Source organism: Homo sapiens, chromosome 10 (assembly GCF_000001405.40).
Source record: "Homo sapiens chromosome 10, GRCh38.p14 Primary Assembly".
In the NCBI taxonomy this organism is placed as follows: Eukaryota; Metazoa; Chordata; class Mammalia; order Primates; family Hominidae; genus Homo; species Homo sapiens.
In genome coordinates this window covers 67,753,409-67,772,384 of record NC_000010.11, presented here as the reverse complement: position 1 = coordinate 67,772,384, position 18,976 = coordinate 67,753,409, and the positions used below count along the sequence as shown (strand labels likewise).

General features: G+C 41.7%; 1 protein-coding gene and 1 non-coding gene across 2 annotated transcripts in view, besides 6 other annotated features; one reads left to right on the top strand and one right to left on the bottom strand.

The window, feature by feature from the left end:
• Positions 953-1,112: an enhancer, noted in NCBI's record as "active region_3452". NCBI's record gives its function as "activates an Ori minimal core promoter by ATAC-STARR-seq in GM12878 lymphoblastoid cells {active_cell/tissue: GM12878}" and the evidence as "EXISTENCE:reporter gene assay evidence [ECO:0000049][PMID:35858748]".
• Positions 1,293-1,482: an enhancer, noted in NCBI's record as "active region_3451". NCBI's record gives its function as "activates an Ori minimal core promoter by ATAC-STARR-seq in GM12878 lymphoblastoid cells {active_cell/tissue: GM12878}" and the evidence as "EXISTENCE:reporter gene assay evidence [ECO:0000049][PMID:35858748]".
• On the bottom strand, positions 7,801-7,882 carry TRS-TGA1-1 (tRNA-Ser (anticodon TGA) 1-1). Its single transcript has one exon. It is a non-coding gene; the product is annotated as a tRNA-Ser (tRNA).
• Positions 7,985-8,234: an enhancer, noted in NCBI's record as "active region_3450". NCBI's record gives its function as "activates an Ori minimal core promoter by ATAC-STARR-seq in GM12878 lymphoblastoid cells {active_cell/tissue: GM12878}" and the evidence as "EXISTENCE:reporter gene assay evidence [ECO:0000049][PMID:35858748]".
• Positions 8,338-8,507: an enhancer, noted in NCBI's record as "experimental_16073 CRE fragment used in MPRA reporter constructs". NCBI's record gives its function as "activates a minimal promoter by MPRAs in K562 erythroleukemia cells, with activity observed for the non-introgressed 10:69523721 or rs16924798 variant allele {active_cell/tissue: K562}" and the evidence as "EXISTENCE:reporter gene assay evidence [ECO:0000049][PMID:34662402]".
• Position 8,422: a transcriptional cis regulatory region, noted in NCBI's record as "Neanderthal adaptively introgressed variant 10:69523721 (GRCh37/hg19 assembly coordinates) or rs16924798 in the experimental_16073 CRE". NCBI's record gives its function as "modulates activity of the experimental_16073 enhancer by MPRAs in K562 erythroleukemia cells {active_cell/tissue: K562}" and the evidence as "EXISTENCE:reporter gene assay evidence [ECO:0000049][PMID:34662402]".
• Positions 8,620-8,914: an enhancer, noted in NCBI's record as "tiled region #10071; HepG2 Activating DNase matched - State 4:PromP, and K562 Activating non-DNase unmatched - State 2:TssF". NCBI's record gives its function as "activates a minimal TATA promoter and a strong SV40 promoter by Sharpr-MPRA in HepG2 and K562 cells {active_cell/tissue: HepG2 | K562}" and the evidence as "EXISTENCE:reporter gene assay evidence [ECO:0000049][PMID:27701403]".
• Positions 8,791-18,976, top strand: part of CTNNA3 (catenin alpha 3) — a 1,851,072-nt gene continuing 1,840,886 nt past the window's right edge. The window contains exon 1 of the mRNA XM_047425124.1: positions 8,791-8,951. The gene's annotated coding sequence lies outside the window, so the exon portion shown is untranslated. The remainder of the gene's footprint in view (positions 8,952-18,976) is intronic.

Genomic DNA, 18,976 nt, shown 5'->3' with positions numbered 1-18,976 from the left:
ATCCAGCCCACTGTTTTTGTAAATAAAGTTTTATTGGAACACAGTCACACTCATTTGTTTACAGATTATCTATGGCTGCTTTTGTGATACACAGGCAGAGTTGAGTAGTTGCAACAGAAACCATATGGCCTGCAACACCTAAAATATTTACTGGCTGACCTGTAGAAAAAGTTGCTAACTAATCCCTGCACTAGAGGTGGGTACCAAAATTAAGTGCAGCATTTCTGTGCTCCAACATCCTAAGCACAGGTTATTTCAAAACACTAGCATTCTGTCTCCAATGATGGAGACAGATGTCTTTACATCTGGAAGACAAGTAGCTTTCAGAGGGATACTGTGTATATTCATCTCTTGGAATGACTTGTGGTGTCAGATAAAATGTGTCTAAAGTTCGTGTGCTGAACAATTTTTTTTTTTTGAGACTGAGTCTTGCTCTGTTGCCCAGGCTGGAGTGCAGTGGCACAATCTTGGCTCACTACAACCTCCACTGCCCAGGTTTAAGAGATTCTCTGGCTTCAGCTTCCGAGTAGCTGGGATTATAGGCATGCGACACCATGTCCAGATAGTTTTTGTGTTTTTAGTAGAGACGGGGTTTCACCGTGTTGGCCAGGCTGGTCTCAAACTCCTGACCTCAAGTGATCTGCCTGCCTTGGCCTCCCAAACTGCTGGGATTACAGGTGGAACCCACTGCGCCTGGCCTGAACAAATGTTTTGATAATTGTGTCTCAAATGAATATGTTTGGGAGGGAAATATATTCCCCAAGAGTCTTTGTAGACCTATGTTATGTAGGAGGTTTTATTAGAATAAAAATTAAAAGAACAAAGGGGGCTCTGAGATCCCTGGGGTGGGGACCAGGAGATTTATGAGTCCAGCAGACAGGAGCTGTGCCCCACCTCAGCCCCTGAGTGAGAAGCTTGTCAGCTCTAGCCTCTTCTCCACCCCGACCTCAAGCAGCAGAAAGCATCACAAGCATAAAGCCCACAGGCCACGTCCTCTGTCACTGGATTCTTCTAAATAGTCTGAGATATGAATGGAGAACTGGCCTTGCTCATGCATGCCTCCCTTGGCAGCCCAGCACCAGACAAAGCAGCTGAGGTAAGACTAAGTCCATCACAACCACTCTCTGGGCTGTGAGAGCCTGTCTCAGGACCCAGGATCCGAGGCAAGGGAAGGGAATGGATATTTTAAGAGCATGTGTGTGAGATGGTGGGAAGGAAACAGAAATAATTCATTTCCTGGGGCTTCTAGTCTATGAGCCTGGGTGAGCTTGACTGACCAACTTCATGCAGATTGGGAAAGAAACTAGTCATTGGAACAAGAGCTGAAAGCTCTATGTTTTCTTCATCAGTGCTTCAGATAGAACAGGATATCTGTTTTACCTGAAAATTCCAGTGTCAGAGCCTCTGTCTCTCTCACCCCTGCAGGAGCTAAGACTTAGGTATTATTACTAGTTGTTTGCACTCTAGTATGTAGAAAGAGCCTGAGACCAGATGTTTTTGGGGACATGGGCATATTGGGAAACAAGACTCCAGAAATGGGCATTCCCTCCAGAGGGGACTTGAAATGCAAGCTTTACACAGGTTGTAGGCCAGCCCTATCTCTCACTTCCTTTTTCTACTGCCTCACTACACAACAATGCCTCCATTAATGAAACCTCTGAGGATGAAACTCCTTTACAATGAACATGTTGAGTTAAAACAGAACAACAGCTTCATAAATCATGCTAAACAGTGGTGCAATATATCAAATGGTTGAGCTGCAATATTCCTGCAGATCTATGCACTCAGGGCACAAATCTCTTCAGGCACAGTTTTGATTCATCCCCAAAGCTGCAGGAAAACAGTTTACCCTCTGCTTCCCACCCCTTCAGGTGTTCTGAGACCTCTTGCTTTCTGATCCTCACAATCACAAAATTCACTCAACAATATTACTTATTGAAGGCCCATTAAATAGCAGATAAGGGGATTTTGTGGTTTTACACACACGTGTACACACACACAGAGACATTAAGCAAATATTTCACACTAAAATATCACAAAGCATGATGTGTTGTGAAGAAAAAGAGTAAAATGGTATGAAATTACATAAGAAGGAGGACTGATCAGTTTGATGGGGAGGGAGACATTGGAACATGTACAGAATTCCTAAGGTGGGAAAGAGTTTGGTCTTTTCAAGGAACTAAAAGAAAAGAAAGTACATTTGGCTAGAGAATGACAGGGAGAGGCCCGGTAATTATGCCATGCAGGATCATGGAGAGCTATGGGGTCATGCTAGTGATTCTAGTCTTTATTGTAAAAGCACATGGAAATCCCCAGAAGAGTTCTCAGGAGGAAGGTTATAAGACCAAATGTGCATTTTAAAAGAAAAATTTATTTTATGGAGAACAGATTGGAGGGGAGGAAGAGTGGATTGGAGGAGATAATTAAGAGGCCGAGAAGTAGTTGAGATGAGAGGTAGTGTTGATTTGGACTGGGTGGTGGTAGTAAATATGGAACAAAGTTGATTCTCAGCATATTTAGGGGCAAACTCAATGGCACTTGGGTTGAATAGGAAATGGGTTAAGGAATAGGGAAATATCAGGATCATTCCAAGTGGGTGTATCCTGCTCCATGGCTGGAAATGCCACAAACTGGAATGGATTTGGGACCTGGATTTAGAAGGGAAGGATAATTGTAAATTTAGCATTTCTACAGATTAACTGATTACAATTTGCAAAAAATTCACTTCAGTCTATTTATGTTTAAAACCTTTGAACACTGATCAGAAAGTTGCAGGACCTAATTTCTACTAAAGGAAGTAGGTAGAAAAACATTTGGGAGAAGGGGACCTTGATATTATAACTTCCTCTGCCTTCGAAGAGGGGTCTGATTGCCAGGCATGTTGAGGCACAGGGACAAGGCTGAATTGCTGTGTAACATAAAAGAATGAAAAAGCTGGGGTCTTGAGAGAAAATCCTCAAGACAGTGCATCATGTGAGGTTGGGTCAGAAAAAGCTGGCTCGAGGGGATGCACAGGAGGGTTGGTAGTGGATAAGAGAACTCTGGAGAAGAGAAATGTGGAAAGAGGAGTTGAAATGGTTTCCTCTGAGAAGAGGAGTGCACTGCAGAACCTCTTCCACATCCACCCCCACCCCTTCCATGGATTTTTCTTTGCTCATCATGGAGAGAGCTAAACCTCGAGTTGCATGGAGGCCAGTTGGAAAGTGAACATTCTCAAGGAGACAAAGGTGGGGGTGACCCATGGAGGCAGAGGTCTGTATGTACTTGCCTCCTGGTTCTGTCTGCCCTTTCAGTGCTAGAAGACAAAGAATGGGAAGAAAAGGTAAGGAAAAATATGGAAAGGGAAGGAAGGGTACATAGGCTGTTGTCCTCTGCCCTCTTTTATATTAAAACTATTCTAGGTGGGGGATACTCAATATTACAATAAATTATACTAAGGCAAAGATTAGTGACCTTCAAAAGGAGAACAGCATGTTAAGCCCCTCCTTTCTCTCCCACTTTTTTTGGGCATTCTAGGGGTGAAGTTTGGACATGTGCTGACGTCCATACTTCAGCATTTCTTCTTTGATGAAGAAATGAATATTCATTCATTTCTTCATCAAAAATTTGAGTCCCTTTTCTGTGGTATGTAGGGGCACAAAAATGAGAGATATGATCCCTTTACACATCCTCAGGGAGTTTACCATTTAGTGGTAAGAAAGACAAACAGGCAGAAATAGTGCAATGTGAGCCTTGCTATAATAGGAAATGGGAGAATTAAAGGGGTTTCTGGAGGCTAAGCACTGTAGCTCAGGACTGTAATCCCAGCACTTTGGGAGGCTGAGATGGGAGGATCCCTTGAGCCAGGAATTTGAGACCAGCCTGGGCAACATAGTGAGACCCTGTCTCTACAAAAAAATAATAAAAAAAATTTAGCTAGGCATGGTGGTGTGCACCTGCAGTCCAAACTACTCAGGAGGATGAGGTGGGAGGACCAATTAAGTCCGAGGCTGAGGCTGCAGTGAGCTGTGATTGCCACTGCACTCCAGTCTGGGTGACCAGAGCAAGGCCCTGTCTCAGAAAAAAAAAAAAAAAGAAAGAAAAAGAAAAAGAAAAAAATATAAAAAATAGGGTGGCTTTATTTATTTATTTATTTATTTGGAGATGGAGTCTTGCTCTGTCCCCCAGGCTGCAGTGCAATGCTGGGCTCACTGCAACCTCCACCTCCTGGGTTCAAGCGATTTTCCTACCTCAGCCTCCCGAGTAGCTGGGACTACAGGTGTGCACCACTACGCTCAGCTAATTTTTGTATTTTTAGTAGAGACAGGGTTTTGCCATGTTTGCCAGGCTTGTCTTGAACTCCTGACCTCAGCTGATCCGCCCACCTCCGCCTCCCAAAGTGCTCGGATTACAGGTGTGAGCCACCGCATCCTGCCTAAGGGGTGGCTTCTGAATCAGCCTGGGAGATTTTGCAGGAATGCTTTCCCTAAGAAGTGAGACTTGAAAGAATATGAGTTTTCTTAGCAGAAAATGATGGGGTGAGAGGGGGTTATACTATAACTTTTGGAAGCCAAAAAAAATTTTTTTTTGAATGGGGCTGATTTAAGCAGAAACTCATAGGAACTTACTGGAAGGATACTGAATAGTTTGTAGAATTGCCAAGAAGGCTGCAAAATCACTTTTGGAAAGTAGAACAGGAGTAAGTTAGGGTAGGCAGAGTCCAAGATCACAGCAGAATGACGCCACAAAATTAGTCTCGTGCAGACCCTACTGTTCCGTTGCTGAACAGCTGTAAACTCCAGTTGCAGCTCTGGCCCTGGCAATCCCTGTGAGTGCCATTGTTGCCTCTGCCCACTGCAAGGGTGGATTTCTATCCTACCTGCTTTTTGTATTATTAATAATAGCTCTTGATTGAAAGTTGGAGATGGGCACATCTGATTGGCCGAGTCTAGGTCACATGCTGCCTCCTCAGCTGCAAGGGAGGCTGAGACAGCAAGTATGTGACTTTTTCAGCTTCTATGCTGGGAGTGGGGTTGGGAGTGGATTACAGCCTCACACCTAGGTTCAAAAGGAAAGCAAGTGCCCTAAATAAGAAGGGATTTCAAATGCTAGGTAGCCCTCTTCCTCTAGTGAGGGGACAAGGGTGAAGATATTCCAGGTAGTTGCATGTGAACAGTTAAAAAGGCCCAAAGGTATGAGCCAGCATGCAGCACTGGGAGGTCTTCCAATAACTCCAAAGGAGAAGGAGGAGAAGGGTGGGAAGGCCAGAAAGGAAGGCAGGGGACTTGTCTTGAAAGCCCAATGTCTATAAGCTTTGACTTTCCTGTTATAGGACTGTGGTAGACGTAACTGATTTTCACTTAGTACCATCTAATTTTCTTCCTTCCCAATTTCAATTTGGGGAGCAATATACCCAGCTAAACTTCCTCAAGATTCCTTCTAGCTAATGATAGCCATGATACATAGTTTGGGTAAATGAGATATAAAAGAGGGTTCTTGTCTCTCCCCTTCTTGGCTGAATGCATGTGTAAGGTCTGAAGGTATAGCAACCATATTGGGACTATGAGATGAAAAGCTGTATATGCATATTAAAAATGGCAGAGCAGAAAGATGGAAAGAGGCCTGTTTCCTGTTCCATCTGAGAATTTCCTATGCCCAGATTTCTTTGTTCTTTCTTTCTTTTTTAAAAAATGGTGACAAGTGATTATTTATTTGAAAAAATTTCTTGAAACAGTAAGATATGATTTCACGAAGCTACCTTTACAGCTTGGAGAGTACCATTTAGAAATAAAATTGATCATTAATTTGCCTTTTTGATGGAATGTTTTAATTTATAGTTTTGGATTTTGGATATCTCTTCTTGGATTAACTTTTTTTTTTTTTTTTTTTTTGGGATGGAGTTTCACTCTTGTTGCCCAAGCTGGAGTGCAGTGGCACGATCTCGGCTCACCGCAACCTCCGCCTCCCGGTTCAAGCGATTCCTCTGCCTCAGCCTCCTGAGTAGCTGGGATTGCTGGTCCCTGTCCCCACGCCCAGCTAGTTTTCATATTTTTAGTAGAAATGGGGTTTTCACCATGGGGCCAGGCTGGTCTCGAACTCCTGACCTCAGGTGATCCACCCGCCTTGGCCTCCCAAAGTGCTGGGATTACAGGCATGAGCCACTGCGCCCGGCCAGTATTGACATTTTACTATAGTGTCAAGTATTTTTTTAAAATTTTTAAATGGAAACACGTAAGTTATACACTATTTCATTCTCTTGGACACAGGAACGGTATTAATCTCCCAGGTTTTTTGAGACAAATCCCTATGAGTTTAAGCCGCTAGAATTGGATTTGCTGTTATTTGCAGCTGAATGTAATCCTGACTGATAAAGGAAAGGTGACCAGTTAGGAAACTAATGCAGCTGCTTGTAAGTGACTTAAATGGGGGCAGAAAGGGAGGGGATTGGGCAGAGAGGATGGATTGAAAATGTAAATGTGGTGAGTGTGTGTGTTCAGCCAAGTCTCAAATAGGATGGGGCTGTGTGCGTGGAATCCACGTAGATACCACAGAAAACTATCCCTAGCCTTGAGGTATCAGGTATGTCCATAAGAGCACCTGGGAAACATGGGGTGGGAGAGATATGGTGAAAGTGGGTTAAAGGTAGCAGACAGGGGATGTGTAGGGTCCCAAAGACTAACCTCACAATTTTCTTATTTAAAACATAATACTGGGTCCATGTACAAATTTTAGAAAACCCAGTTAAGGAAAAAATTATTTAAGAAAATAAAAATCTTCCCAAATCACACCACCCAGGGATAATAATCCCTGCTAACACTTTGGTGTATTTCTTTCCAGCCTCCATTCATTCTCCATCTCTCTCTTTCTCTCCCATTCTTCCCACATAGATGGGTATATACATGAGTTGCTTAACAAAAATATGATCATAGTATGATGTGCTGTTTTTTGATCTGTCCTTTTTGCATTTGGCAATGCATTGGGAAGGCCCTCACACATCATTAACATCATTTTTTTTTTTTTTTTTTTTTTGAGACGGAGTCTCGCTCTGTGGCCCAGGTGGAAGTGCAGTGGCGCAATCTCGGCTCACTGCAAGCTCCGCCTCCCGGGTTCACGCCATTCTCCTGCCTCAGCCTCCTGAGTAGCTGGGACTACAGGCGCCCGCCATCACGCCCGGCTAATTTTTTTGTATTTTTAGTAGAGACGGGGTTTCACCGTGTTAGCCAGGATGGTCTCGATCTCATGACCTCGTGATCCGCCCGCCTCGGCCTCCCAAAGTGCTGGGATTACAAGCGTGAGCCACCGCGCCCGGCCATTAACATCATTTTAATGCTTACATGCATAGTGTTCCATTATGTGGATGTATCTAAGATGCTTTATAAGTAGAACTTTAAAATTGCTTTTATTATTTCCCATTTCATACCACTTTTGGATGTGGTCTGGAAACCGTCGGAAGTGATTCTGGGATGGAAGGGAAGGTGGCATAGCTTTTTCTTAGTTTTAGTGAGCTGATAGCTTGCTCAGGCTGTGATAGCCCGAAAACTTGCGTCAATATTTATATTCATTTTATTTCTATTTTGCCACCTTGCTCTTCTCATGGAGCACGAAGAGTTACCTTGCCTTTTAGGACAGTGGAAGGATTTTCCTCTTGGTGTAAACAGTACATGTTTGCAGCACTGACATTTATTCGCTTTTCTACAGCGTATAAAACCACTCCGTAGGCGCGCCATTTAGCTGACAGGCATTGAAAATACAGAGAAGAGTAAAAGTTTTCATTTGAAGGTGTTTATTTAAAAAAATAGAAAAAATAAGAGCACCCGCTTCCGCAGCGAGCAGGGTTCGAACCTGCGCGGGGAGACCCCATTGGATTTCAAGTCCAACGCCTTAACCACTCGGCCATCGCTGCCACGAGAATATTCGACAGGCGGAGACACTTTAGTGTAACAACCACTGCGCTCATGCCAGGCCCGCGAAAGGGCGGAGCGCGCACCCTCTGAGCTCCGCTCCGTGCGAAGCGGCGGGGCTGAGGGCTCAGGGTGCGGCAACTACAGGGTAGACGCGAAGAAATAATAGAAACCACCCTAAATAGAGGTACATTCAGAACTTAGAAACTCTCCCCTTCGCTGTGCTCCGAAAATCGCAACCTTGCCTGGCTTCTGGTCGCTGACCTGGTTTTCGCCCTCGCGCTTATTAGGTCTACGAGAGGGCCGTGAAACAAAAAGATCTGTTCTGTTACGTGCTGCGAGCCCGCGCTCCCGAAAATTTGGCATTTCTGCGAGAGAAGCGTCTTCCGCGGCGTTTCCCGCCAAGACTGGGGGCGTCGCCTTCAGAACACTTTCTTCTGTGCATTGAGGCAGGAAGTGTGAGGTGTCGGGATGCTGCCTGTGGGCTCGTCCCTTCCCCCCCCCCGCCCGCCCCCTCGGGCTTCTGCCCAAGCAGCCGTCTCCCATTTTTTAAATCCCCAGTGATCCCTTCATTGCCGAGCTCAACTGGGAGATGTCAGGCTGCAAGTGTGCTCTCTGCTCTCTCAGGAGAGGGGTGGCCGCGGACGTGGTCTGAGAACCAAGTTCTGCGCATTAGTCTGCATTCAATACCTTTAAATGCCATTAATGCCTTCTGGTGTTCTGTGTGGCTTCTGCCCTAGGTGCTTTACCCGCGTTATTTCGTTAAAGCCCTGAGAACCGAGGTCTGTTCTGTCTTAGCCCACCTGACGGCACTGAGGCCTGGGGTTGTGCCGCGGGTGGGCCTGGCTGATCCCAGAGCGCATGCGCAGCCCTTGTCACGTAGCGCCACAGAAGCGCCAACTTCTGTCGATGGGCAATTTGAGAAAAGTAACAGAAGGCCTTTTACTAGTTGAAGTTTCTAGGAGTGTTCATGGAAACCCCACTGCCCTTCTCATAATGGTACATTTCATAATAAGGCAGGAAGGCAACTCGACCTTTGGAAGCCTCTATGTTGTGACTCCACTTGATAAGGTGTGTAACTTTTCTTGAGACCTTCCATACCATTTCTCGAAACCAAATTATGGTGCTGAGTGTCTACACCCATTTAATTGTGGAAGAGAGCAGAATATTTGAGACTTGTAAGGATAAATTTTGTCTGAGATTGTTCTTTTAGGAATTTTTTTTTTTTTTTAAATTTTGGCAGAGCTACAGGAGGGATCCCATTTTCTCTATGAATACTGCATGGGAACAAAGTAATTCCCGACATTGCCAGGCATGAATTTTATCGTAAACACAAAATTCACTTGCACTTTTTCCAATAGATATTGTCCAAGAACTACATTTTTGTTTTTTAAATCTTGTCCTTAGATTGTACCTACGTAGCAGGACTAGCTGCAGACAAAATTCCTTAGACACCCAGTTAAAGAAGGAAGGGCTTTATTTGGCTGGGAGCATCGGCAAGACTTAACGTCTGAAAAACCGAGCTCCCCGAGTAAGCAATTCCTGTCCCACTTAAGGGCTTACAACTCTAAGGGGGTCCGCGTGAGAGGGTCGTGATCAATTGGGCAAGCAGGGAGTACGTGACTGGGGGCTGCATGCACCGGTAATTAGAATGGAACAGAATAGGATAGTGCTTTTCTATACAATGTCCCTAATCTGTAGATAACATAACTGATTAGGTCAGGGGTCGATCTTTAACTACCAGGGCCAGGGTGTGGCGCCGGGCTGTCTGCCTGTGGATTTCATTTCTGCCTTTTAGTTTTTACTTCTTCTTTCTTTGGAGGCAGAAATTGGGCATGAGACAATATGAGGGGTGGTCTCCTCCCTTACCTATACCCTGAGATAACTTAGAATTTAACCTTACCTAATTTTACTCGTTGTATTTTGATCTTGAAGCCCTTTTTATCTTTCCTTCTGTGCAGTTGAATGTTGATAATGTTTACTGGAAGTTCCTTTTCTTCTGTAACCTTCCCTTCCCCTTTAAAGAATCCTCTTCACTCGCTTAAAAGCTTGACAGTAATGGGAATTGATTATGGTTAACATTGCTCAAAGTTTTTACTTTGAGAGGGCTTTTTTTTTTTTGGGGGGGGGAGGGGAAAGCAAGACAATGGGGAAAATGATCGATTATAAAGTTATTGTGTATTTTGTGAGAACAGTTGTGATTAAAATGTCTTTGCAACATTTCCAGGGAAATACCTATATTTAACATTTAACTTTTAGCTTGTTTGAGTTAATGTAGGCTTTTAAAACAGTGAAATAATCTTTTTTTTTTTTTTTTTTGGCTGATTTATCATAGTGCTAGAATGAGCCGAGATCAAAATTGTTGATTCCCCCCGCCCCCAAAAGTGTGAATTTCCAAATCCAAATGAGTTCTTTTGGCTCCAACCTTAGGTCTTTAGCATTGTCATTTAATGCAGTGAGCGGCAAGTTAGGAATACAGAAGTAAAATTCATATGTTCCTAATTCGTGACAATAATATCATAAAACATTGTTTTGCAACCATATGCAAATTTCAGTTGGTAAAGGTCCAGTGGTAATCCTGATGATCTCCTCCCTGCCACTCCCTGTTTCTGTTCTTTTTTTTTTTTTTGACGGAGTCTTGCTCTGTCGCCCAGGCTAGAGTGCAGTGGTGCGATCTCGGCTCACTGCAAGCTCCGCCTCGTGGGTTCATGCTATTCTCCTGTCTCAGCCTCCCGAGTAGCTGGGACTACAGGCACCTGCCACCACGCCTGGGTAATTTTTTGTATTTTTGGTAGAGATGGGGTTTCACTGTGTTAGCCAGGATGGTCTCGATCTCCTGACCTTGTGATCTGCCCGCCTCGGCCTCCCAAAGTGCTGAGATCACAGGCGTGAACCACCGCGCCCGGCTCGTGTTTCTGTTCTTTTATGTGGCGGTTTCAATTAAGCTAATTTGGGTGTGGAAGGCAAATATGTTTTGGCTTTCTCAGAAAACCTTTCTTGGTGCCATGTTCAGAGGCAGACAGAATACTGGGAGGAACAGGGCATGTGATTGGGAGCAGTATGGCATTTCTTTGTTCTTTTATAGCAAATCAGAAATTTATTTTAAATTATTTTGATGGTTTTGGGAGCATTTTATAAAATCATAGAAGTTTAATGCTGGAAGAACCATTAAAGTTAGTCCAATCTCTTCATCTACAGGCAGGAAACCGTGGCCCATGAATAGCTTGCCCAAGTTCACATAGCTAATTACAGTCATGTGCCTCATAACGACATTTGGGTCAATGCTGGACCACATATATAGCAGCAGTCCCATAAAACTTTAATACTGTATTTTCACTGTATCTTTTCTGTGTTTAGATAGATATGTTTATATACACAAACACTATTGTGTTACAGTTGCCTACTGAATATGTTGTACAGGTTTGTAGTCTAGGAGCAACAGGCTACACCAGTGGTCGCTAACCTTTTTGGTACCAGAGACCAGTTTTGTGGAAGATAATTTTCCACGGGATGGTTTTGGGATGATTTAAGCACATTACATTTATTGTGCACTTTATTTCTATTATTATTACATTGTAATATATAATGAAATACACAGCTCACCATAATGTAGAATCAGTGGGAGCCCTGAGCTTGTTTTCCTGTAACTAGACAGTCCCATCTGGGGGTGATGGGAGGCAGTGACAGATCATCAGGCATTAGATTCTCATAAGGAACACACAACCTACATCACAGTAGGTTGTGCACTTTACAGTAGGGTTCATGCTCCTATGAGAATCTAATGCTGATCTGACAGGAGGTGGAGCTCAGGCGGTAATGTGAGCAATGGGGAATGGCTGTAAATACAGATGAAGCTTTACTCTCTCACCCGCTCACCTCCTGCTGTGTGGCCCGGTTCCTAACAGGCCACGGACCGGTACCAGTTGGGGACACCATGGGCTGTATTATATAGACTAAGTGTGTGGTAGTCCATACCATCTAGGTTAGTGTAAGTGCACTCTATAATGTTTGCGCAATGATGAAATCATCTAAGGATGGATTTTTCAGAACATATCATTAAGTGACACATGAGTGTATTGGCAGACAGGGGTATAACTTGTAATATTAGCTTAGTGTTCTCACTCATTTTGTTGCCCTCATGTATTATTTGTTAGTCTCTGGCACAATGGCATATAAATTGAGACGTGTAGATGGCAGTAGACAATGCCTCCAGTAGGGAAGAGTCACGAGTTGAATGTTGAAGGCATATGTCAGATAACGAATGTGTTGTGATGGGTAATTTTTGTTCTTTATTCCAATATCTATCCTCCCAACTGATACTGACACCTTAATTGTACTTAAGGGGCACCACCCCTCTGCCATTGGATGAAACTTTACTTTATCTGTCAATCAAGATATCCCACCCTCCTCTGGCCAAGGAATGGGCATGTGACTTGTATTCGTTTTCTATTGCTGCATAAGAAAGAACCATAAACTTAGTGGCGTAAAACAACACAAATTTATTACCTCATAGTTTCTGTGGGTGAGGAATGTGGTTATGTGTTGACTGGGTTCTTTGCTTAGGGTCTCATCAGGTCTCAAGGTGGTGACTGGGGCTGCAATCTCATCTGAGGTTTGGCGTCCTCTTCTAAGATAACTAGTTGTTGGCAGAATTTAGCTCCTATGGTTGTAAGACTTGCTGGTTGTCAGTAGGGGGGCGTTTTCAGTTCCTATAGGCTACCCACTTTTTTCCTTGCCGTGTGGCTGTTTCCACAACATGGTAGTTTGCTTCTTCAAGGTCAGCACGATAATTCCTCTATAGTCTGCTACAATGGAGTTTTATATAATAGAATGCAGTTATCAAAGTGATTATTCTATTATATTCACAAGTCCTGCACAAGTGAAGGGGATTATTTAGGGAGTGTAACAGCAGGGGTGGGAATCTTGGGGACATCTTAGATTTTTGCCTACCACACAATTCAAGCTAGGCCAATCAGACCCCAAATCCTTGTTCTTTCTTTTACACAATTGTATTATGAAAATTTCACACAAAACACATAGTAACCAACAAGAGGTGATCAAAGTATGGTAATATTAACTTAGCTGCCTTGTGTGCTTTTGCACTTCACTCAAAAGGAATAGGTTTGACAACAACTGCAGAGTTTTAGAGGCTTTGCCACTATTTAGGATTTCTTTTCTGTAATTTTATATGAATTGGAGAATAACTCTAGGTATATGTTTTGGATACCATATGTGAGAGGACTTAGTACAAATTGGACAAAGAAAATTATGAAGTTACTGGCAATAAAACCTTCATTAAGATTTAGTCAGTAAATTAAAGGTATCGTGAAAAGTGATGGAAATAATTATCAAGGAATTGCTGCATTGCAAATGACCGTACTTTTAAAGCTTCAGCAATTAATTGTGGGTTGGATTTTAGTCACTGTGGTACTTATACATAAATGTTTGAAGAAGATTGAAGATATATCCTAGTTAGTACTTACAGGATTTTCCTACCTAAGCAGCTTAGGTAGGGGCAGCTTACTTACAGGATTTTCCTACCTAAGCAGTCTCTTAATGCCATGGCCAATTAAGAAGTAAGAAGAAGAATCAAGAAGGATGGGGTCTTCTTTTCTTAAATGTGTGATACCAGTGTAATATTCAACCTCAAATTCTCAAAAAAGTAGTTTTCTTTGACTTTGTAATAGCAGAGATCTGGACTTACCAAAGACATCTTAATCTATTTTTTTTTAAACCAAATCAGATGTCGAAGGGCAGAATAAGCTTATTAAGAATGAAATCTTATACCCAGTTATTTATAGAATTGAATTGATTCCCTATAAAACTCTATGGACAAGCTCTATATATGGGGTTGATGTAGTGCGGTTTTTATAAAGGCAACTGAAATGGACAATTTTAAGGATTACATTAAAATACAGCTATGATCAATGTATTGGGATTATAATTGGGGCACAACTAGATCCGCAGACCACCCATCTTATAACTTTAAGGAATTATGATTATAGCACCATTTTATTTCTTTACAAGATACTGTCATTCCTTTTACTAATTCTTATTTTTTGGGGGGCTATTAAATTATATAGGAAAACCAAGTCTTTTTCCTTGACTGTATTAGGGTTCTCTAGAGAAACAGAGTGGCTAAGATATATGTGTGTGTGTGTGTGTGTGTGTGTGTGTGTGTATATATATTTATATATATGTGTGTGTGTGTGTGTATATACATATACACATGAGGAGATTTATTATAGGAATTGTTTTATGTGGTTAAGGAGGCTGAGAAGTCTCAAGATCTGCCATCCGCAAGCTGGAGAACCAGGAAAACTGGTGGTATAGTTCAGTTCGGGTCTGAAAGCTCAAAAACCAAGAATGCTGATGTCTGGGGGCAGGAAAAGATGGATATCTCAGCTCAATAAAAGAGAGAAAAAATTTGCCCTTCCTCTGCCTTTTTGTTCTATTTAGGCCCTCAGTGGATTGGATACTTCCTGCCTGCATTGGTGAGGGTGGTCTTCTTTACTCAGTCTACTGATGCAGATGTTTATCACTTCTGGAGATACCCTCACAAACACACCCATAGATAACATTTTACCAGATATCTGGACATCTGTATTAATCAGGGTTCTCTAGAGGGACAGAACTAATAGGATAGACGTATATATTAAAGAGAGTTTATTAAGGAGAATTGACTCACACGATCAGAAGGTAAAGTCCCACGATAGGCTGTCCGCAGATTGAGGAGCAAGGAAGCCAGTGGTGGATCACTCTGAGTCCCAAAACCTCAAAAGTAGGGAAGCTGACAGTGCAACAGCCTTCAGTCTGTGGCCAAAGGCCTGAGAGCCCCTGGCAAACCACCGGTGTAAGTCTAAGAGTCCAAAAGCTGAAGAACTTTGAGTCTGATGTTCGAGGGCAGGAAGCATCCACCACAGGAGAAAGATGAAAGTCGGAACACTCAGCAAGTCTGTTCTTTCCAACTTCTGCCTGCTTTATTCTAGCCGCATTAGCAGCTGATTAGATGGTGCCCACCCAGAGTGAGGGTGGGTCTGCCTCTCTCAGTCCACTGACTCAAATATTTATCTCCTTTGACATCACCCTCACAGACACACCCAGGAACAATACTTTGCATCCTTCAATCCAATCAAGTTGATACTCAGTATTAACCATCACAGCATCCGTTAGCCCAGTCGAGTTGATACGTAAAATTAACCACCACGTTGACCTTAGAGAGCTCATCTATGCCCATGCCTTTAAATACACAGAGATATTTGCTAAATATTTATTGTTTAAAGCTGCCATGTTTAGGGATAGTTTGTCATACAGCAATAGATAACTAAGGCATTCAGTTTTTCCCCCTAGAACTAGATACATTTGCTCTATTCCATGTTTCTGTCAGATGTTTTCTGTTTATCCAGCAGGCTGGAAAACACTCTTGATTCAAAATGCCTAGCACAGTGCTTAATATGTAGTAGGTACTCAATATATGATAATTATCTTTTTTTGTTGTGAAAACAATATGATGTTAATAAAAAGTTTGAAAAATAGAAAAAAACCTCAACCCACCTAAGTCTTTTAAAAACTATTCTTTTAGTCCTTTCCCCTATACTTATATATATTTTTTTACATAGCTGTAACTGTGTACATGATAATTTTTCTACTTTTGTTATATTGAGGTAAAATTCACCATTTTAACCATTCAAGTGTATGATTCAGTGGTTTCCATTACATTCATAATATTGTGTTACTGTCACTAATGTATATTCCAGAGCATTTTTATCAGCCCAAGAGGAAAACCTGAACTCATTAAGCAACCACTCTTCACTCCCCACTTTCCTCAGCCCCTGCAATCACTAATCTGCTTTCTGTCTCTATATTCTGTTTGCCTATTACATTTTATGTAAATAGAATTATATAATATGTGGCTTTTTGTGTCCATTTTTTTCTTAGCACATTTGCAAGGTTTATCCATGTTACAGCATGTATTGCTACTTCATTTATCTTTTAGTGTTTTGAAAATATTGTTACTTGCCTTTTAAAAAATTATTTATTTTTATTGATGCATAATAGATGTACATTGTTTTGAGGTACATATGATAATTTAATACATGATTTGTAAATATTAAATTGGTGTAGTTAGGATATCCATCACCTTAAATATTTGTCTTTTTTATGCTAGAAACATTTGAATTATTCTCTTCTAGCTTTTTTGAAATGTACAATAGACTACTGTAGACTATAGACACCCTACTGATTTATCTAAAAACTAGGTCTTAGTTCTTCTATTAAACTATTGAATAGGTGTAAATATGTACCCGTTAATCAACTTCTTTTCATCTCCCTGTTCCCCCCACCCTACCTGGCCTCTGGTAACCACCAGTCTACTCTCTATCTTCATAAGATCCACTGTTTTACCTCCCACATATGAGTCAGAACATGCAATATCTGTCTTTCTGTGCTTGGCTTATTTCACCTAAGATAATGAACTTCAGTTCCATACATGTTGCTGCAAATGAGAGGATTTCATTCTTTTTTATGGCTGGATAATATTTATACCACTTTTTCTTTATCCATTCTTCCATTGATGAGCATTTAGATCAATTCCATATTTTGGCTATCGTGAATAGTGCTTTGATAAACATGGGAGTGCATATATCTTTTTGGCATATTGATTTTCTTTTCTTTCTTTCTTTCTTTTTTTTTTTTTTTTTTTTGAGGCAGAGACTCACTTTTGTCGCCCAGGCTGGAGTGCAATGGTGTGATCTCGGCTCATTTCAACCTCCAGCTCCCTGGTTCAAGTGATTCTCCTGACTCAGCCTCATGAATAACTGGGATCACAGGCGTGTGCCACCACACCTGGCTAATTTTTGTATTTTTAGTAGAGATGGGGTTTTACCATGTTGGCCAGGCTGGTCTCAAACTCCTGACCTCAAATGATCCATCTGCCTCAGCCTCCCAAAGTGCTGGGATTACAGGCATGAGCCACCATGCCCTGCTGATTTTCTTTCTTTTGAATATATACCCAGTAGTGGAATTGCTGGATCATATGGTAGTTCTATTTTTAGTCTTTTGAGGAACCTCCATACTGTTTTCCATAGTGGCTGTACTAATTTACATTCTTGCCAATCGCGTATAATGGCTTCCCTTTCTTTACATCCTTGCCAGCATCAGTTATTGCTTGTCTTTTTTATAAGAACAATTTAAACTGGGGTGAGATGATATCTCATTGTAGTTTTGATATGCATTTCTCTGATGGTTAGTGATATTGAGCATTTTTTCATATACCCATTGCTATTTGTATATCATCACCTTTTTTTTTTTTTAAAGATAAGGTCTCATCCTGTCACCCAGGCTGGAGTGCAGTGGAGTGATCATAGGTCACCGCGGCCTTGAACTCTTGGGCTCAAGTGATCCTCTCGCCTCAGCCTCATAAGTAGCTAGGACTACTACAGGCATTGGTAATTTTTTAATTTTTTTGTTTTGTAGAGATAAGGTCTCGCTATATTTTCCAGGCTGGTCTCAAACTTCTGTCCTCAGTTGATCCTCCCATGTCAGCCTCCCTAAGTGCTGAGATTACAGGCTTGAGACACCATGTCCAGCCATGTATGTATTCTTTTGAGAAATGTCTATTCAGCTCTTTTGCCCATTTTCTGATCAGATTATTGTCATTTTTTTCTCCATTGAGTTGTTTGAGCTCCTTATATACTCTGGTTATTAATCCTTTGTCAGATACGTAGTTTGCAGATCTTTTCCCCCGTTCTATGGGTTGTTTTTGCACTTTGTTGATTGTTTCCTCTGCTGTACAGAAGACTTTTATCTTGATAAAATCCCAGTTGTCTATTTTTGCTTTGGTTGCCTGTGCTTTTGAGGTCTTACACAGAAAATCTTGCCCAGACCAATGTCCTGGAGCATTTCCCCAATGTTTTCTTCTATTAATACTAGTTTCATAGTTTCAGGTCTTAGACTTAAGTCTTTTATCCATTTTGATTTGATTTTTGTGTATGGTGAGAGATAGGGGTCTAGTTTCATTCCCTCTTTTTTTAAATTTTATTTTATTTTAAGTTCTGGGATACATTTGCATGATGTGCAGGTTTGTTACATAGGTAAACATGTGCCATGGTGGTTTGCTGTACCTATCAACCCATCACCTAGGTATTAAGCCCCACATGCATTAGCTGTTTATCCTGATGCTCTCCCTCCCAACGCCCCCCCGATAGGCTCTAGTGTGTGTTGTTTCCCTCCCTGTGTCCATGTGTTCTCATTATTCAGCTCCCACTTGTACATGCGGTATTTGGTTTTCTGTTCCTGTGTGAGTTTGCTGAAAATAATGGCTTCTAGCTCCATCCATCTCCCTGCAAAGGTCACGATCTTGTTCCTTTTTATGGCTGCAGAGCATTCCATGGTGTGTATGTACCACATTTTCTTTATCCAGTCCATCACTGATGGACAGTTGGGTTGATTCCATGTCTTTGCTATTGTGAATAGTGCTGCAATAAACATATGTGTGCATGTATCTTTATAATAGAATGATTTATATTCCTTTGGGTATATACCCAGTAATGGGATTGCTGGGTTAAATGGTATTTCTGGTTTTAGATCCCTGAGGAATCACCACACTGTCTTCCACAATTGTTGAACTAATTTACATTCTCACCAACAGTGTAAAAGTGTTCCTATTCCTCCACAGCCTTGCCAGCATCTGTTGTTTCTTGACTTTATAATAATCGCCATTCTGACTCATGAGATGGTATCTCATTGTGGTTTTGATTTGCATTTCTCTAATGATCAGTAATGTTGAGCTTTTTTTCATAAGTTTCTTGGCCACGTAAATGTCTTCTTTTGAGAAGTGTCTGTTCACGTCCTTTGCCTACTTTTTGATGGGGTTTTTTGTTGTTTTCTTGTAAATTTGTTTAAGTTCCTTGTAGATTCTGGATATTAGACCTTCGTCAGAGGGATAGATTGCAAACATATTCTCCCATTCCATAGGTTGTCTGTTCACTGTGATGATAGTTTCTTTTGCTGTGCAGAAGCTCTTTCATTTAATTAGGTCCTATTTGTCAATTTTTGCTTTTGTTGCAATTGCTTTTGATGTTTTGTCATGAAATCTT